Consider the following 19,976-nt stretch of genomic DNA (forward strand, 5'->3'; position numbering starts at 1 on the left):
GGAGGAGGGAAGGCTGTAAAACCGTTTTGGAAACGTCAGGCCAAATCGTACAAAGGCTTCCCGCAGAGCACTAGTGCAGTTTTTGAAAATCCCCCTAGACTGCTTTAGACTAGAAGTATTTCCGTCAAGCAAATGACCATTTGACTCCATTGAGAGAGAGAGTCCACCGCTGAAATGATTAAGTCCTACTAGGTGGGTGGTTAGAAAAGGTTATCAATAAAGTTCTGATGGACCCATCGATAGATGGAAGAATGACTGGGAGATAGATAGTAGATGTGGGATTAGTGCTGAGCCTTAACCCTGCTGCTTGGGGAAGGCTCTACTCACAGGCATTTTTAGCCCACCTCCATGGCAGAGACAGCTCCAGCGCAAGATTCAAAGGGAGGAGGCTTCAACATCTGTTGCTTTTTTCTTTTAGGGGTCGTGGTTGTTAGATTTTCCCTTCACCTCACACCCCTGGCAGTAGGAAATATTTGCAAAAATTTTCTCTCCTTATGACCTCGCAGACTCTGATTTCCCAAGAGGCCAGATGACAATAACTTCAAAGTCTCTCCTCCACCTGGCAGCTCAGTTTCAAATGACTGCTAGTAATTAAAAGAAAGGATCAAGGCAGCGCTTCCTCTGACTGTGATAAGGACATCTTCAGTCACAAGAAACCTGGGGGAGCTGGACTCCTAGAATGCTTTCAGGCCACAGGATTTCACTTGGGTGCTACCACCCTCCCCTGTAGCTGGAGGGCGTGAGCTGTTGGAGTGGCAGAGCTGTTCAACATCACTCAGCTAAACAACACTGACACACCCTGGTGGTGCTCCTTCTATAAGGAGCACTTTCCCACATGTTGATCTATACCTTCGTGGTGGTCAGCATCAACCTGTGAAAGGTATTCCATGGAAATCTTGTATCTCAACTCAGCCACACCAGCTTTTGCTTTTTCATAAAGAGGAACAATCTGATTATTGTGTCTCTAAGTCATCCCAAATATCTTCTGATTGACGTTGGGTTTCTTCACTGAATTCTATGAAATTCCAAGCAGAAACCTAAGATCGTTGATGGGCCAGTGTGACCTGTGGCCAGAGCCAATCACTCGGAATCTCATCTAGTAGTGACTCCAGCCGAGATAACTGTTTAGTTTGTTATTCTGTTGTTCAGGGTTGGGGGAAACCTGGAGCCTGACAGCTGAATTGTACTGACTTTCCATTTAGAGCTCAAGGATAATAATCAGTAATGGAGTCAAAATTTGACTTATGACCTGGCATTTTATCACCACAAGTGAATGCTGTGTCAAAAACAAGAGAGTTATGTTCCTTGGCAAATACTGTTCTTGTGGGCCTTCATGTGCATCTTTAAATTTTCGTCAAGGTATTAGACTGACAGACAGGAGAGCTGCTGTACTTTTTCCTTGGATTGGGGCAACTGGAAGAGGGGCAGAGATCAGACAGCAGATGGTGCGAGGGAAAGATGCTCTTCGGTACCTTGGAGTTCACATTTTGCAAGGATCACCTTTATGTGGGAGGAAATGATTTAGTTTCCACATGTGGTTGGCCATCCACTGTACTCCTGAGACAGTCAGCAAGAATGACAAATGCAAGCTGTCAGCCTCCCTATTAGGAACATTATGTTGAGAGCATTCATAAATTTAACATGAAGTGCTGAATGGCTCTTGGTCACCACAAACCCAGGTTGAATTTGAATCCATGACCTTCTGAGGAAATGCCCCGGCAGCCCCTGAACAGGCTTCAGTAGTCCCTTCAGTGCTAGGCTGCCTGGTTTTTCAGATCCTTATCCTTTTAAAATTAGAACAGGGCTATGATGAGCCAATTTACTGCCGTTCTGTGTAATTTAGGTTATTCACTCAGTGAAATGTAGAGGATGAGAGCACAGTTAAGGCTGCATATTTCAACTTCAAAGAAAGATCTCAATTTATGCCTGCCAAAGTGTTAAGAGTTCTACTGGCCATAGAGCATCAAGGAAACATGTCTGCTTTGGTGAGATAGCTGTGGATCCAAAAGGAGCTCTACTTCAAGATGTTTTTGGTTTTATTTTATTTTTTTTAACTTGCCATGGTTTGTCGTGCTTCTCTCCCACTCCCCAAATGGGTGGTCTGTTGGGGATGATGAGTCATGATTTCCTGGTTTGGAAAGCGACATCACTCTCTTTTAGAGTTTTGGGGGTTCGGTCCAAGTTTGGTCCTCACGTTTTCTTTGGTATTTTCAGTGTGATGCTCACACTACAGGGCTGGAACGCTCACTGATTAAGGACATTTTAGGAATGATATTATGACTACACGATTTCATTCTAATTCGGAGCATTGCTTTAGAGTTTCGACAGCTGTTATTGGCTCTCCCTTGAAGCATTTTGTTTTTCAGTGGCTCTGCATTACTAGATGGGAATCTGCTTCTTCACTCCCAGTCTAAAGGGTAAGTGTCAGTAAGCCTGCAGACTGGGCTGGGGCTCTGCCATCCACAGCGTAAGGTCTGAAATGCCTGCTCGTGAGTTGCTCCACCAGCGATGCGAGCAACTGAAAGAAACTCCTGCACCACTTCTGCGTGCTTCTCAAGAACTACAAGTTGGTGTTGGAAAAGAGATTCTTTTTCACTCAACTGTCAGAAATTAAACTTTGTGAGACCTGCTCTAGGTGGAGAAGTGGGTTGCCAGGGTAGGCAATGAATGGGTAAGGAAGGAAGGGCCATGGGCTTGTTTGACCTTGGGAGATACTGCGTTGTATTAGGTACAAAGAAAATTGCTGCCACTTCTCAGTGATCTTCCTGTATAACTAAATATTCGCTCATTAGGGCTTTTTGTTGTTGTCGTTCACCTTCTCACCTTCTTTCATTAAATCCAGATCTTTAACATCCCAGCTGAGCAGCACAGGGAAGGCTGAGAAATGGCAGGAAGGCATTTTCCTTTGTTCATATGTTTTGTTTTGTTTTTCATCACCAAGCAGAGGATTGGTAATGAGGAGATGGATCATCCTTTCATTTCAAACCATATGAGGAGTATGTTCCAACAGATAATAAACAAGCACATCGTGCAAAGAAGGGGGGTGAGGAGGCAGGTTAATAAAGCTTTTGTTCTCCTTTGATTAAACTCTTACAAACGAGTCATCAAAACTTTCCAATTAAAAGGCTATAAATATTATATGTCTAAATATTTCACTTTTAAAAAATAGGGCAAGCAGCAGTATTATAATGCTAAAATACGGCAAAGAATAGAAACATACTACTAAAAGATATGTACTTCTTAATCACTTGGCCTTCCGAGTAAACTCTCTTCTTGGTGTTCTTCATGGTTTATTTCAACTTCAGGTAGAAGCTTGGAAAAAGAAAAAGAAATGACCATCTATCTTGGTCTATGAGGATTAAATGAAACAATATACATAAAACAACCAGGCTGGTACCTGGAAGTTAGACTCTCAATCAGTGATTGCTGTTTTTATTTCTCCCACAACTTCTGCTACACTGTTGCTGCATCTGTGTTAAGTGTATGGAGAGGACCACAGCCTGGCTGAGGCTCTTTAATTCTCAAGCCATAGAGCAGGCAGCTGATTCATAAACAAAGTGCTCACATTTTGAGGGTTTCTTGGGGCTCAGCTGTGACTTCTTTGCTGTCTCTCCCATTCTAAACAGATGCTGTAGATTATCTGCTTTGCACAGTGGTCTAGATGTACTGATACCTTGAGAAGCCACCATTATCTACTCCCTGCAGTTCACCAGCTTTTCCTTGAAATGCAGCTGCCAGTAAAAATGAGAATTGGCAAAAGCCAATGGGGTGTGCGGTTTATCTTTGGATGTCTTGTCTGGCTTGTTGTATCTAAAACATTGTTAAAGAAACCGGTACAGTTTAGGCCTTATTGAAGAATTGAAAGGATCAGATTGTTTTTGAATTTTTTTTGTTTAAAGAACCATTAATTTAGACAGGCTGTAGTGGAGATTTGAGAACATTTGGGGATATAGATTTTACCCCCAGCTCTGGTGCTGATGGCCCAGGCTATCATGCACCATTTCTAGGCCTCATTTTTCTATTCTGTGTGATGGGAATAACACTAATATCTCTAATTTCCTTTATACAGTGTTTGTGAGTATCTAATAAGGTAGAAATATATTGGTAGAGCTTCAAGAAAAATTCAAACAATTATTATCAATAATTTATTTGATTTAATGGTCCACTAATTTCTTAGTTGTATCAAATTACATAGAATATTTTAATTATTCTTCTTATTTCAAGAAAGAACAATAAATAAATTGTGAATCTTAGAGCTTCGACAGCACTGATTTTTGTATTGAAGGCCCATAAAAGAGGATGTAATGTGTTAATAACCAAGTTAAAGACTCTTAAGCCAGAATACTAGATGAATGTAAAGCATGATTATAAGTATTGAAAGCAATTTTAGTTCATGGCACGATGATTTTTAAGCTGCGAATTAACTGATTGCTGTGGTCTAAGTGTTGGCGTCCTTCCAAAGTTCATATGTTGAAACTTAACCCCCAACATGATAGTACTAAGAGGTGGGAAGATTTGGGAGGGGATTAGGTCATGAGGGCTCCTCTCATGAATGGGATTAGTGCCCTTATAAAACAGGTTGAAGGGAGCTACCTTGCCTCTTTCACCATGAGAAGACACAACATTCATCTCTTCCATCACAGCTTGGTCTTGAACCTCCCAGCCTCCAGAACCGTGAGAAATAAATTTCTATTATTTCCAAATTACCAAGTAATTATACAGGTTTTTGCTATAGTAGCCCAAGTGGATGAAGACATTGATCTACCTGTGATTATTGCTACTACATCCTGCAAACTGTTGCCCACTGGGGGTTACTTTTTCAACTTAAGAGAACATAGCTTCCTTATACATAAAAATCTATAAAACATGCAATTTATTACCCTCTAAAAATATCCTTTTTCTCAAAACTGGGGTTGCTGAACGTTCAGGCTGCATATTCTCCCTATAGTAGGCATTGAGTAAAATAATTATAACTTTATCTCTGTATTGTATGTGGTTCTCAGGCATCAGAAGAACAACTGTAAGTGCAGAAATCCCATGCGAGAAGTTAATTTAGGAGCTATTAATAATTTCTCAGATATGATCTCATGTATTAACTCAGCACAACTCTAGTGTTAAAGTTATCAAAGAGCATATAGGGGGACGATGAACCATTGGTTAATGTTTTTAAAAAAATCTTTAGTTCTGAGCTTTATATCATGATCTGTTTTGAGGAACATCCTAATGTCAAGGCCACGTTCAGTCCTCTGACATCTTCCCTCCTTTGTCACCTTCTAGAGGAAGCCTTTCTTTCCCCCTTCTGCAGTTCTTTCTTCCTTTAATAGCTGTCTTTGTTTTAATAAGGAAACTGTCGGGGGCAGGGTGGAGATAAGGAAAGGAAAAATGAACTGAAGGAATAAAGAAACTACAGGAAAAGAGAAAATAAGAAAGATTTTTCAGAAATATTTATATCTCTTAGAGTCCCTTAAATACTAAAAATTAGAAACTCGAGATGGTATGTGACATTTGTACCCTGACACTTTGCCTGCTGTGAAGTGGTAATGGTGCTCAGCTTTCCCACGGCAGCCCCAAGAGTCTGACTTTAGAGAATTCCTCACATATTCTGCCAGGGCAGACACGTGACTAATTTATTTCTGTTCTAAAAGACCTCAGAGAAGAAGACTGGTCTAGAATATCTCTGAAAGTTAGAGCACATTGCAACAGAGTGGATATTTATTTTTATTTTATTTAAAAAAATGATTTAAAGATACTACGATGTCAAGATGACATCGTTAGGTGATATGGTCGTAATATGTTGGGACTAATGTACTCAAATGAGTGGGTCACTGAGTCAAGTCATGGGTTCATACTCAAGTTCATCATCTAATTTTTAGCCCTTTATTATTTTTGAGTAAAAATAGCATTTAAAAATACTGTTTTAATAAATACTGAAACATACTCATTATAAAGACAGACTAGGTAATAGAAAGTTTAAGTGAAAGTCTCCACCCCATACTCACGTCTCTCAATTCCTTACCCAGAGAAATTTGCTGTTAAGTGTGATGTATAGCCTTTTAGCCATTGTTTGTATATACAGTTGGTTGGATGAGTTAAAGTACAAATCCCTAGAAGTAGAATTTTCCAATCAAAGTTTTGTGCATTTCAAATGTTGAAAGAAAATGCCAATTGCATACCAAGCCCTTTAAATGGATTTGATCAACTCATTTAAGCACATGGCTGGATGCAAGTGAAAACCCCATCCGGCCACATCTCTAGGACAGCATTGGGCTAGCTCAAGTATGGTAGACCAGGGGACAGTAGCACTCCACACCCCAAGGGCTTTGGAAATTTGTAGGAGGAGAGGTATTTTGTTGTCGCCATGACTGGGAGGTTAAAATAAGGGATTGGGAGATTAGGCTTGATGCAGTGCACAGGGCGGTTCCACACAATTAAACATTGTCTTGTGTCCCACACAATTTACAAATATTTTGGTGGGCATTCATATTGGTGAAGAACCTGCTTATTATTCTGGGCCCAGAGCCTAACTACATTTTACATATAAATTCAAAGTTGGTTTTTGCTGTTGTTGTTGTTCATGGTTTTAATATACATTGACGTTTTTAGGAATATAACCACCATGTAAATTGAGAGTTAAAACATTATGGAAAATTGCCTCACTGTGGCATTTAAGCCATAGACCAACATATCTTTATCAGTCTATATTCACTACTAGGGCATTTGCAGGGATTCTATGTATAATCTCTATGCCTAAGCTTATATATTTAGAGCATTATACTGACTTTTAAAAAAACGTGTGGAGTAAATTATAGTATTTATTTCACTTAAGGTACACTACAAAATATTTGTTATAAAAGGAGCTGTGTCGGGCCGGGCACAGTGGCTCATGCCTGTAATCCCAGCACTTTGGGAGGCTGAGGCGGGTGGATCACCTGAGGTCAGGGATTTGAGACCAGTCTGGCCAAAGTGGGCGAAACCCCTTCTCTTCTAAAAATATAAAAATTAGCCAGATGTGCTGGCATGAGCCTATAATCCCAGCTACTCGGGAGGCTGAGACAGGAGAATCCCTTGAACCTGGCGGGCTGGAGGTTGCAGTGAGCTCAGATCATGCCATTGCACTGCAGCAACAAGAGCAAAACTCCATCTCAAAAAAAAAAAAAAAAAAAAAAGCTGCGTCTGACAAGGTTGAAACCCACTGCTCCAGAGAGCAGTCACATTTCCTGGTTCAGATGTGCTCTGCTGGCTCATGTGGCCTCTGGTTCTCTGATTCCGCTTGGCTGGCTCCTGAGGTGTTCACCTCCTTCTCCATGCCCCAGAACCCATAGGTTAAGAGTTACTCCAAGCTTACACCACAGTCTCAGAGAACATGACCAAGACGGGTCCACTCTGCCTTGTGCACTCCAAAGGAACAGGCAACTTGTTGGCAGAAGAGTTCCTCTCAGTTCCTAGGAGAAAGCAAGTTGACCAACCTAGTGACCATGAAGCACGCCTGAGAGGAGTGAAAACAAGAAGATACTCGCTCCCTGCCTATGCTAACTAGTGCTTTTTGCAGTTGTAGGTATGGAAGGAGAGAGTGCAAGTGTAAGAGATTATTTAGTTGCATTTCAGGATATTTCTTAGTCTCCCTCTTATTCTCCTAAAATGATTTATTACTGTTTTTTGACCTTTGTTTTACATAACATGAAAATCCTTTCTCCAAAATATTGACTTCCTATGGAATTACAAGACTCTGAAATTTTAAAAAGAAGAAATCTGAATCCATCACTAAAATGTCAGCCTCATCCAGAATGCAAGTTGTATGAGTGTAGGGTTCTGCATGTTCTGTTCATCATTCTAGTCCCAGCATGTAGAACAGTACCTGATCTGTTCTCAATGATATTGATTGAATTAATAAATTCAGACATTGTGTAAAGAATCCTTTCCTTTTTTTTTTAAGTTACAGAGCTGTGACAAATATTCCTCTTAATTCCCCATGCAACCGTGCTTCCAAACGTCAAAAATCAAACCTTTTTATACAACCTTGTTGAACCCTAATCTCCTAATTTACTCCAGTGTCATGAAGAACCAGTATTGTGCTGGATCGCTGTAACATAGGAATATCGCACAGACTTATGTATAATGAGTATCATCTAGAAATCATGAAATCCCTCTTAGGGCATTTCATTCTTGAAACTGTGTTTTGTGGCCAGGCGCGGTGGCTCACGCCTGTAATCCCAGCTCTCAGGGAGGCAAGAGGCAGGAGGATAGCTTGAGCCCAGGAGTTCGAGACCTGCCTGGGCAATATAGCGAGGCCCCGTTCTCCAGAAAATGGAAAAAAAAAAAAAAAGATAAAACTGTGTTTTGTTTGTTTTCCTTTTCAGTGTTTCGTCTGCAAATCAAATCTATCACTCTTGTTTCTCTTTTAAAGCAATGTGAAAAATCAAGTGTCCTGCTTATTGACATTGTTAAGATAGAATTGCAGTGTTCTGGGGGTATAGGTCATCAAACTTTGAGCATATATGTGCTGAAAGTTGGTGTGCCCTGGAGTGTGCCAGGCAATTTTCCTTCAGTCTGTGCTGTAACTGGTAGTTTCTGCAGTTTTAGGTGTGGAAGAAGATTGCAAGTAGCAATCTGAAAAATCCGCCTTATCTACTTCAAAAGAAGGGGGCAATGACTTAGCATTGTTCCCAGCCTGCTCTGTGTCATCAAAGGCACATGTTTGAAAGACTGGTTGTCTGGCTGGGCACGGTGGTTCACGCCTGTAATCATAGCACTTTGGGAGGCCGAGGGGGGTGGATTACCTGAGGTCGGGAGTTTAAGACCAGCCTGGCCAACATGGTGAAACTCTGTCTCTACTAAAAATATGAAAAATTAGCCAAGTGCAATGGCATGCGCCTGTAATCCCAGCTACTCTGGAGGCTGAGGCAGGAGAATCACTTGAACCTGGGAGGCGAACATTGCGGTGAGCCAAGATCATGCCACTGCACTCCAGACTGAGCTACAGAGCGAGACTTCATCTCAAAAAAAAAAAAAAAAAAAAAAAAAAAGACTGGTTCTCCATTCCTGTGGTAGGCAATGTACCCCACAAAATATCACTGCCCAATCAAAGGCCTATATAAAAGTACTAACTGATCCTAAAAGAAACAGAAAATAACAGGCACTCTTCCTATGTTTCTTCATTTATCTACCTTTGTGGACATCTGCTGAAAATTGTGTATCCACCATAACTCTTACTCAGTTACAATCATAGTATAACCATTGTATTAGGACCTGAGATAGATGCAAAAATAAATATGATGCAGTCCTTGGCCTTGAAGATTTTACAGTGTGGTAGGGAAATATGGATATAGAGATTTACATGCAAAGAAGTCCTTGAATTGGATAGATTCATGTGGAAACACAGAAAAAAGAGTAACTAATTCTTCCTAAAGTGAGTGTTTGGGTAGTGAAAGAAAATTAGGAAAGGCCTCATAGGAATGAGATTTGACCTTGGCTCTGAATAATAAAAAGCATTCAAGTCATAGAAAACACCAAATGTAAGGCTGAGAGTAGAAATAAGGATGATGTCTCTAGCAAATGGAAAGTTTGGAGGACTTAAAGGAGAAAAGTGTGGAAATAAGTCAGGAGATGAGACTGAAAGTGGAAGTTTGAAAACTTTTCTTAAAGGGTATCATATATTGGGCTGAGAAGTTTAGACTTAAGGACTTATCTTATCATATGCTAGATGGAGTGGAGAGAAGACAGGCTGCAGGCATAGTGACCATTAGAACACATTTAGGAAAACTTAGGAGGAGAGATAGCAGGGCAGCAACCTTGGGCACTGGCCTTCAGTAGAAGTGATAACCTCAAAGGCCTCTAGGGCTCTGCAGGTATCTTGAATAATTAAAGGGCTGAGTATAAGGCAACAGAAAGTCGTGGGACCTACAGTGGCAGAAAGACTAGGTGCGCCAAAGCACTCAAATTCAATAAAAAAAGTAACAACGACAACATCTTTGTTGAACAAATAGAGCTCATCTGGGGATCAGATTTGTTCTGCAGATGTCAGTTTGCCACTCCTTGATCAATATAGAATGATCTGTTTACTCTCTTTTTGGTACCCTTTCAGAAGAGACAGCATTCCTGATCTTCTCTGGTGAACTATGCTGGTGTTCGGTCACTCTGAAAGTCAAAGACTTTGGTACTTTCTCAACTTCTGCTTCTTTAGTTCAAATTCACTTCCTTTTTTTCTACCTTCAGTGTGGCCACAGATCATTTGGTTCCCCGCCTACCCATTCTTAGAGTCTTTCATATTTTTTACCTTCCAACTCAAAGTACATTTTGTTTAAAATCAATACATGAAATTATAGTAATAACCACAACCAAGATTTGCATAACACTTCATGCTTAAGATGCATTTTCATCCCCTTTTTTTGAGGTAGATAAGGCAAATTTTTCAGATTAAAAAAAACCCAGACTTCATTTAAATGGCATATGCAAGTCATACAGCTGGAAGATGGCAGTGGAACTTTGGTCTCTCTCACTAAGTCAGTTTGCTCTTTTCTTGACCTCATCGTGCCTCCCATGGCCTCTTTGCAAGTTGGATGACTCATCTGCATATTTGTTCTGTCTAAGTACAGAGAAGAAGAATACTGGTTCAGAACTTAGAAAACAATGGCATTTTAATAAAAATGACACTTTGGACCTTAAAAACATTAAATTAATCTTTTCTTTAAACCCACAATTTTGTTGACAGTGTGCTAAAATGATGAATATTTAAAAGTTTAATTTTTTTTCTTAATATGGAAAATTTATTCCACTGACTACTTTTAAAACTCTTTAACTTTGAACTCAGTCATTTGTTTATCCATCAAATCTTCATTATCAGATATTGTGCTAGAAATACAAAAAGGAATAAAACATGGTTTCTGGCAGCAACTCAAGCTCCAGGTCATTTCTGATTGCCTCCATGCTGGACCCAAGAACTGACTATCTTCTGAAGGCTTTTCCCCTAATACCCCTCTGAAAGGATTTGTACAAATATATCAATATTTTTGATGGGACCATCTCAAGTTTTACTCAACTATAAGCAAAACTGGCAAGCATATAGCATTCTTTGGACAATAGGTAAACAGAAAAATCATGTTGCCTACAAATGTATTTTTAAACCAAAAAAATGTGGGGGATGAGGGTGATGATCCAACTCAGAGAACAGCCATTTTCAGTAGACTGTTTTGAAAAAACAACTGATTTGTCTTCTTGTTAAGATTCAAGAGAGAATTGCATTTATGTAACTTGAATAAACATCTAAAATAATTAAGGATTGCCTGAATTTGAAAATCATGACTGCCAAATTTAAAACAGAGATGGAAGCAGCCAATAGAAGAAAATCAGTTAGTGAAGTACAAAAGAATTTGCAAAACTCTCCCAGAACACAGAAGAAATGGGTAAAAGATTGAGGTGATGAGTGAGATTTAAAAATATGGGGAAAAGATCACGGAGATTCAATCAAGGAATATAGAATTCCCAAAAGAGACAACTGAATTGTTGGGCCAGAAACAAAGATCAAAGTGTTAAGATAAGAAAAGATCCAGAGAAACTCAGTGTAAACATCTGGACATTGAAGGTGTGAATAACATTCCCATTCACGTTGTTTTGTCATAACAAAACAATGACAATGCTCAATCATTAACAGAATGTAAAAATCCTAGACATTTTCACCACCCTGTCCCCCTACTCCTGCCCCCGCCCCCGGCCCGCAACGCACACAAAATAAAACCAACAACAACCCACCAAGTTATCTACTGTGTCTGTTAGGATTCCTGCAGGAAACAGCAACCACCTCTGATGGTTTCATGAAGAGACTTTAATAAAGGCACTACTTACCGAAAGGATTAAAAGAGCAAACAGGAAGGTGAGGCACCCAGAGACTAGCAACAACCTGTTGATGTCTCTTGGGCTAAAGAAACAAGAAGAGGAAGTAAAGTTAGCAGAGCAGGGGCCCTGTATGTGTTCTAAAATCACAAAGGGACACAGCTGCTGTTAAGAGATTCTGCACTGGGCTAGGGGAAATGGGGAAAAGGTAAGTTCTGACCTCTCTCTCCCCTCCTGCCCTCTGATCACCTGCTGGTACTTTCCATTGCCTGAACCCAGCCCGGAGCCAGCAGGCAAGGGGGCCAACAGAGGCAGAAAACAGCTGTGAGCCTTTTAGTGGTCACAGCAAGGTAGAGAAACATTGAATGGATTTGGAGGGCTGGGTGAGGACTTGAATAAGGAGTATATTTATCAAGGATCAAATAACTAGTTCAATTGAGAAATACTCAGTTAGCTTTGGAAAAAAAAATACTATAGTACACGGATTCCATATTCAAAAATACTGTAGTACATTAATTTGTTGTTCATGTGTGAATGAAGTAAAAAAATAGTCAAGGATAAGCAAGGACTTAGGGAAACTTCTAGATGATTCAATGAGTGTAAGACAAACTCAATCTCTGCTCTCTGAGCTTATATTCATGTTAAAATTAATTTGTAATGAACAGTGTCATGTGCTGGGAGGAAAAACTTCTCCTCTCCCAACTCAGGTCCTACTGGTTGGGGGCCTGTGAATTAAGTGACAATAAACAGATTAATAGGAGAAAAATATATTAGGCATGCAGGAGTACCTTATATAGAGAGTAGCTCCCAGAACAGTTAGAGTCTCTTAGACTATTAGTCTAGTAAGACAGTCTATTAGTCTCTAATAAGAAGGGCAGAAGTTAGAGTTTCAAAGGTTGAAAGGTTCTGATGGGGCTCATTCACACCATTTTTTTGGATTGTCCTGTTGTGCAAGGCCACTACCTTCTTGAATGGACACCTCCCCAAAGGGGCTTCAGGGGCAGCTGACTCTCATAAAACACTGTCAGATGAAGGAAATTCAAAGATTTCTTTCTGAATCTTCTGCAGCTCAGATGTCTTTACTTTGAAGTATCTCCATACCAGTTTGATGGGCTGTTGGTCTCTTCACATGGTAAGGAAAGTGGAAGCACAGGGTGCTACAGGTATACCTTGGAAGGGAAGAACCTGGTTCAGCATGATTAGGGAGAGCTTGGAAGGAAGTGGGGTCTTAGTTGAGACTGAAGGGTGAGTAGATGTTAATCAGGCACAGCACCTCAGGAGAAATCCAGGAAGAGGGATCAGTAATATGTACCATGTACCATCAGGTTGGCACCCAGTAGGTATTGAGCAACCATGATACGAGAGTTAATTAAAATAACCTAACAACTAAAAGTCTTAAGAAAATGTTCACAGGGAACTGATGTTATATATACATTTAGGAAGTATATACTGATCGTCCATTAAGGAGCTGGCACTGGGACACAAAAACAAGTAAAATGTATTCAGACCCATGCTTTTGACTGGGCAGTCCCAGAGGGAAGCAGGTAGAGACTTAGAGAATTAAATAAGCCCTTGATGAGAACTGTATTCAAAGCACCATAGGGAAGTGTGGTTGCTATGATGCATCCTATCTCCCCACTTGTCTGCTGAAAAGAGCTTTGATTTGATGTGCTGCACTTGACCCCTGGATCATCTCCTTTCCTCCTCAGAACTTTGCTGTTATGTTTGGGGATATTCAAAGTGTCACTAATAAACTTAATATTAATGCCTTTATCATCCTTGTCAATGAGAACCATAGAGGAGAAAAGATTTCTTATCCATTGCTAGGTTCATAGCTGAGGCTTCTATAACAAAAGACAGATATAGATTAATAGGAGAAAAGCATACAAACTTATTTAATATAAGTCTTGCATGACACAGTAGCCTTCAGAAATGAAGATCGAAAGAGTCAGAGAAACCTGTGTATTTTCATTCCTGAGTTTGATGAAGAAATGGATAGTTGTGGAAAAGTATGACTGGGTAAAAGAAGTATGGTCTAATGATGGTAAACCAGGAGGAGCTTAGCAAAGCTTGTTTGTTCTCTGGGTCTTCAGAGCTCACATGAAGGTCTTATGGCCTATTCAGGTGAAGGTCAGAAACTCCATTTCTAGAACTAATAGCCTGCTTCAGGGGAGAAGGGTGGGAGAAGGTCAGAGAGAGACGTTCCTGCTTCTGCAGTTTTCTCAAACACCAAGGTGCCATATTTGGGGATAGCATATCCTCAGCCCCATCAGAATCATATTCTCAAAGATCTGTCAGCCAGTTGGCAATACTATCTCTGTCTCCACTCTTCATTTCCTTTCATTTCTATGCTTTATCATGGTAAGAGAAATAGTGCAGCTAACTGTTTAGTTTCCCAGAAATTTGGAGGAAATTACTGAGGAAATATCTTGTCAAAAATCTCTTTTTAAATTTGTTTATTCAAATGAAGAAAGCATAGGGAATTCTTGAATAGTTCTACATTAAAAGGCATATCTTGTATTGACTAACAAAGATTTTCTCCTTGACAAAATTTTAATAAGGCTCCTCTGAGCCCTCTGCTTGACTAGACCCACCTTGGGCTTCTGTCTCCATCCTTGCGGTAGAGTCCAGTTTGGGCAAGAATCCTGTCAAGTCGATTTACACAGAGTCTTCCACCCTCCATATCTAATCAAATTACCTGTACCCATCCCCCACCATGTCCCAGGTGACATCTAATCACCCTGGCCTGCCTTCAGAAGAATCTTGTTATGTCAGTTTAGTGAAGAATTACCCTACTGATATGGTTTGGCCCTGTGTCCCCACCCAAATCTCATCTCAGATTGTAATCCCCATAATTCCCATGTGTCGAGGGAGGGGCTTGGAGGGAGGTGATTTGATCATGGGGATGGTACCCCCATGCTGTTCTCCTGATAGTGAGTTCTCACAAGATCCAGTGGTTTTATAAGCGTTTGGCAGTTCCTCCTTCATGTCCTCTCTCTCTTGCCACCATATAAGATGTGCCTGCTTTCCCCCCCACCATGATTATGTTTTCTGAGGCTTCCATGTGGAACTGTGAGCCAATTAAACCTTTTTGCTTTGTAAATTACCCAGTCCCAGGCAGTTCTTCACAGCAGTGTGAAAACAGATTAATATAACTACCCTTTTAGTGAGGTTCCATCCGTGGAACCCCCCAACTCTGCTCATTGGCTGTAAATTCCCACTTTTCCTGGCTGTATTTGGAACAAGCCCAATTTCTCTCCTCTACTGCAAAACCCCATTGAAGGAATCCTGAGTAAAGTCTGCCTTACTGTTCTTAACAAAAGTGTGAGAATAATTTTTTTTTAACATGACACACATTTCAGTAATCATTATCCTTAATAATTCTTTAAGGGACATACAAAGAAAAAAAGTAGCACAAAAAAGGGAAATAACCACAAAATGTGCTTGGTAATAAGGTACATATAGCCTAAAATGAGATCATCAATAATTAGAATTGTTCAAAGTTACTTCTCCTCTGGAAAAATAAGATTTTTATATTTATAGTTAAATGTGTAATTAAGTATTCTATGCATGTCATGTATAAAGGTATATTTATGCAATGTAATTTTAATCAGCTTTCTATATTATTTATCAATAAAAATAAGAAAAAACCAAGAGTGCTTTGGACTTTAATATGCAGAATCTTAACTCTCACATCCTGTCACTTTTGTGGGAAAAAGTAAATGGTTGGATAAGAAATATGCTGATTGAACTTATTTTCAAGTTATGAAAATAATGTGATTCTTGGTAGCTATGAAAACAGAGTAGTCTCTAATGAAATATATGCATGAAGGGAGCTATTAAGTCACACTTTATCTTCTTTATCTGAGTTTGTGATAAAATGTTCCCCACTGCTTAAAAAAAGCTGCAGTGAATTGAAGAGCTAAACTCTCTCCATCAAGGGACTAATGATTCTCCTGTTAAAATGTAAATGGAGCGGCCTTGAGTGGTTTAAAGCTTGCTAGGAAAGACTGTGGAATTGTCATTATCCTGTCATTACTGTGGCTCCCCACAGGAGCAATTGTAAAGGGGAAGGAGGGTTGAACTGAACTTCTAAGTGCCAGGGACACTTCTTGTAGCATTGAGGCAGTTAAGAGAAGAGCCTGGTATTCCAGAGATGGCAAGTGAGGAAGCAAGCACAGGAAAGCGTTTTAGAAGGTGATATATTAATAGTTTGGATATTTGTCCCCACTCAAGTCTCATGCTGAAATGCAATTCCCAGTGTTGCAGGTGGGACCTGGTGGGAGGTGTTTGGATCAAGGGAGTGGATTTCTTATGAATGGTTTAGCACCATTTCCTTGGTGCTGGCCTCCAGATAGTGAGTTCTTGTAAGACTTGGTCATTTAAAAGTGTGCGGCTCCCCACTGCCCCACTCTCTCTCTTGCTCCTGCCTTTGCCATGTGATGTGCCTGCTCCCACTTCACCTTCTGCCATGATTTTAAGCTTCCTAAGCCCCCAGAAGCAGATGCCAGTGATGTGTTTCCTGTTTAGCCTGCAGAACTGTGAGCCAAGGAAACCTCATTTCTTATAAATTATCCAGCCTCAGGTATTTCTTTTTGGCAGTGCTAGGACAGCCTAATACAGAAGGTCAGGTTAGAGAGAAAGTCCTGGGTAGACTCAGAGGCCACAGCCACTGTTGGGGTGGGTGAGGACAGGTCTGAAAAGATTATGATTTTTTTTTTTTGGAAGCCAAAATAAATCATTCTGTTGCTGGGTTCAATCTGGACTTTATTCTTTCAGAGCAGAAAGGGGCTCAAAGGCAAGAAATTGTCCTTGGACTGGAAAGCAGAAATGAAGTAAAACAGGAGAGGTCCATGCGCCTCTGAAATTGTGTGTAAAAATGCATGTGTCTCTGTGTCTCTGCCTCTGTGGGGAGAAGATCAGATCTTTAGCAAGCATCAGATTCTCAAAGGGGTCAATAACTCTATCCTCTTTTCCCCTTCTCCCTTCGCCAAAGAAACTAACAAAAAGTCACTGAATTAGAAATGAAACTTCCCATTTATGGAGTTCTTGTCATCTGAAAGAGAAGTGTCAACAGGGGCCACTTGAAAGAATTTATTGTTTTAGACATGCCAAGAGAATTGATTAACCTAAGCTTATAGTTGTAATGTTTTCTCCCTCAACTATATGTCATTTATCTCTAAACTCCTTCACACTATAGCGAAATTTAATTGTGCATTGAAGTGAATCTGTGTTAAACTAATGGGTTAAGTGGAATGAAGGAAAGTCTTCTGAGAAGAAATTAAAGTGCAGAACTCAAAGGACTAGACTTTCAATCTATTTTTCATAGGATATCTTCCCTCCTGTTCCTCCCACCTTCAGGCCCCAGCCCATATGTAGCATCAACAAAAACCTGCCTTTTCCTACCAGACTGTATTACCCACATGACTTTCATCTTTACTCACAAGATTCATTTTCCGTATTATGTATATGTTTGGGCCCTTTCTCTGTCTGTCCCCATGCTACTTAATGTGGAGTGACAAAACCTGGGTACCACACCGGAGCAAGGTGTCATTATCAGTGTGGCATTCGCTGTCCATGTCAGGTTGGGTTTGCAGGCGGCTTGCAGTCCAGGCATCTGGCAGCTGCTCTTTGTGTAAGGTTAGTTCCATTGCAGTGCTGAGCAGCATTCTCAGGAGGCAGGTAGCATCAGAGGCACTTAGAAATGGAAATGGTTGGCACTGAACTTGGTGACTGGGCTCCTTTTATGTCATTTAAGGATTTATTCATCATCTAGCTGGAGGGGAAGTATGTGCATGTTCTCAGTAGTTATAAGTTTAATGCCAGAATATAGGCACACATTGCTGGCAGTCTTTTTAATGATATGATAAAAAGCTTTCAGAGGCGAGAAGGTAATGGTGGGGAGCAAGAGACTGTGACAAAAATAGGGACGTCATAATTTGCCTCTCCTCCACATTCCTGAATTAGAATGTATGGGAAATTGACTCTGGGGTAAAGCTATTTCTGCTCTTCTCTGCTCTCATCCATTTAGTGCAAATGAAAATGCTGAAAAATTATGGACCCAGAAATCCTAATGTACATGATGTAACGGAATCTTAAAGACATGAACAAGAACATCTAAAAATATTTTCCTTGATAGAAATCTGATATAACCAGGACATTTGATAAGATTATAAATTAATTCACCTATTATTCTAGAAGCAAAACTAGTTAGGCTAAGGATACGGTGTATAATATAGCAAAGAAAGCTTTTTCCTTTCTGGAAATACTGTTTTTCAAAATGAGTATTCAAATTTTTTAAGAGGAAAATTCATACTAGAATTTTATATACATATATTTTTTCACGTGTTAAAACTTTTAGAACAAAAACCTTAACATACTCCCTGAATTTTATATTTCTTACAAAGGATATTGAATTAAGTATTCAAGAGTGTTTTAAGTATATTTATTTTCTGTGGCATTATACTTAGCCAAAATCATTTTATGCTATATGCATTTTCTATATTTTACTTTTTTTAAAGAAAATATAATTTTATACTTGTTTTAATATTAAAGATGATTTTGAAATAATTTCATATTGTGGACAGTCCTACACTTCACAGATTCATTTGTAAAATTTTAATGGAGCATTTTGTTTAAAGAAGGGACTTCATATCAGAAGAACAATTTCCCAGGTGGAACTCTTCTCAAGTGTGATCTCCTACTATTATAGTTTGAAGTTCAGAAGTCTTTAATAATGTCACTCCAACAGTATTTGTGTCCTATAAATTAAATATTTTAAGTAAAAATAGGTGAAGGGCATTTACCATCATATTTGTTTACATTTTTTAAACAAATGTATTTTATATACTAGCTCTATCTACTTAAAAAGCCTAGAAAGTGACCAATCCAATACCAATAAACTCCTCTACCAGCCAGATAGTGGTCTCTAAGCAACCATTTCCCACTAGAACAAAATAGGGCTTGTTGGAGAAATGGCCGATTTCAGGTCAAGGGCAAGACGAGCCTTGCATATCATATGTGAAAGCTGGGAAGCTATTAAAGCCAATTGAAGTCATGTCAAAAAAACTCAGGAGCCAACTTGGGGAGGCATCCACCCACCCAAAGATGAAATCAGTGGATTATGAAATATATGTGATGCTCAAATTGAAGCATATCGAATACACTTAAGTTCTTAAGTTCATAATGACGTTGGGGGGCAAAAGCTCATTAGAAAAAAAATACTCATTCGTCAACTTTAGAGGATGCCAGGGAATCAATTCATCATTTTGATACTGTTAAATAAAGGGACAGAATCAAGCATTCTGGTTTTCCAAAATGAACTGTACCACAGGATAACCAAATGTTTGAAGAGGGGAACCTTCTTTTTACAGAATTTTAACGAATGGTTATAGAAGGAATAATATACTTAGAATGTTACCACTTTGGAATCTTGAATGAAATAATGGATCTAGGGAATGATTACCGTGAGCTACTAGCATCACAAAAAGAGAGACAATCATATATTATGTGCCTCCTGATGGAAGTACACACCACTGTTCATAAAATCTTCCTGCCAAAAATTGAACCTGATCCAATCAGCCTCTGCAGCCAGCTACCAAATTATAGGAGATACATAGGATAGAGGAATATGTTAAACTATTCCACTGGCATGGAACCAGCACAGTCTAGAAACTTTACAAGACAAACAAACCACAAACCAAGGTATTTTCAGCAAATGAATTGCAAGGGGAACAGACAAAGGGAGATACCCCTATGAAATAAATGGGATTTGAGACACACCAACCAATTGCAATACATGAACTTGATTTGATACTGATTCAAACATTTAAGTCATTTAGAAATGATGGGTAAAAGGAGAAATTTCAACACCAACAGGATATTTGATGATAGCAAGCAATTATCATTAATTTGGGTAGGTGTAATAATAATGTTGTAGTTACATTTTTAAAAAGAGTTATTTTATTTTATTTTATTTTATTTTATTTTTTCCCAAAACGGAGTCTTGCTCTGTTGCCCAGGCTGGAGTACAGTGGTGCGATCTCGGCTCACTGCAATCTCCACCTCCCGGGTTGAAGCAATTCTCCTGCCTCAGCCTCCTGAGTAGCTGAGATTACAGGCGCCCCCCACCATGCCTGGCTAATTTTTGT

At 39.6% G+C, this 19,976-nt stretch overlaps 2 annotated features.

Moving 5' to 3' along the window:
• Window positions 10,067–10,266: an enhancer, noted in NCBI's record as "active region_24814". NCBI's record gives its function as "activates an Ori minimal core promoter by ATAC-STARR-seq in GM12878 lymphoblastoid cells {active_cell/tissue: GM12878}" and the evidence as "EXISTENCE:reporter gene assay evidence [ECO:0000049][PMID:35858748]".
• Window positions 15,541–16,104: an enhancer, noted in NCBI's record as "OCT4-NANOG hESC enhancer chr6:88893112-88893675 (GRCh37/hg19 assembly coordinates)". NCBI's record gives its function as "activates a minimal SCP1, AML or CMV promoter by ChIP-STARR-seq in primed H9 embryonic stem cells {active_cell/tissue: H9 hESC(primed)}" and the evidence as "EXISTENCE:reporter gene assay evidence [ECO:0000049][PMID:30033119]".

Source organism: Homo sapiens, chromosome 6, assembly GCF_000001405.40.
Source record: "Homo sapiens chromosome 6, GRCh38.p14 Primary Assembly".
In the NCBI taxonomy this organism is placed as follows: Eukaryota; Metazoa; Chordata; class Mammalia; order Primates; family Hominidae; genus Homo; species Homo sapiens.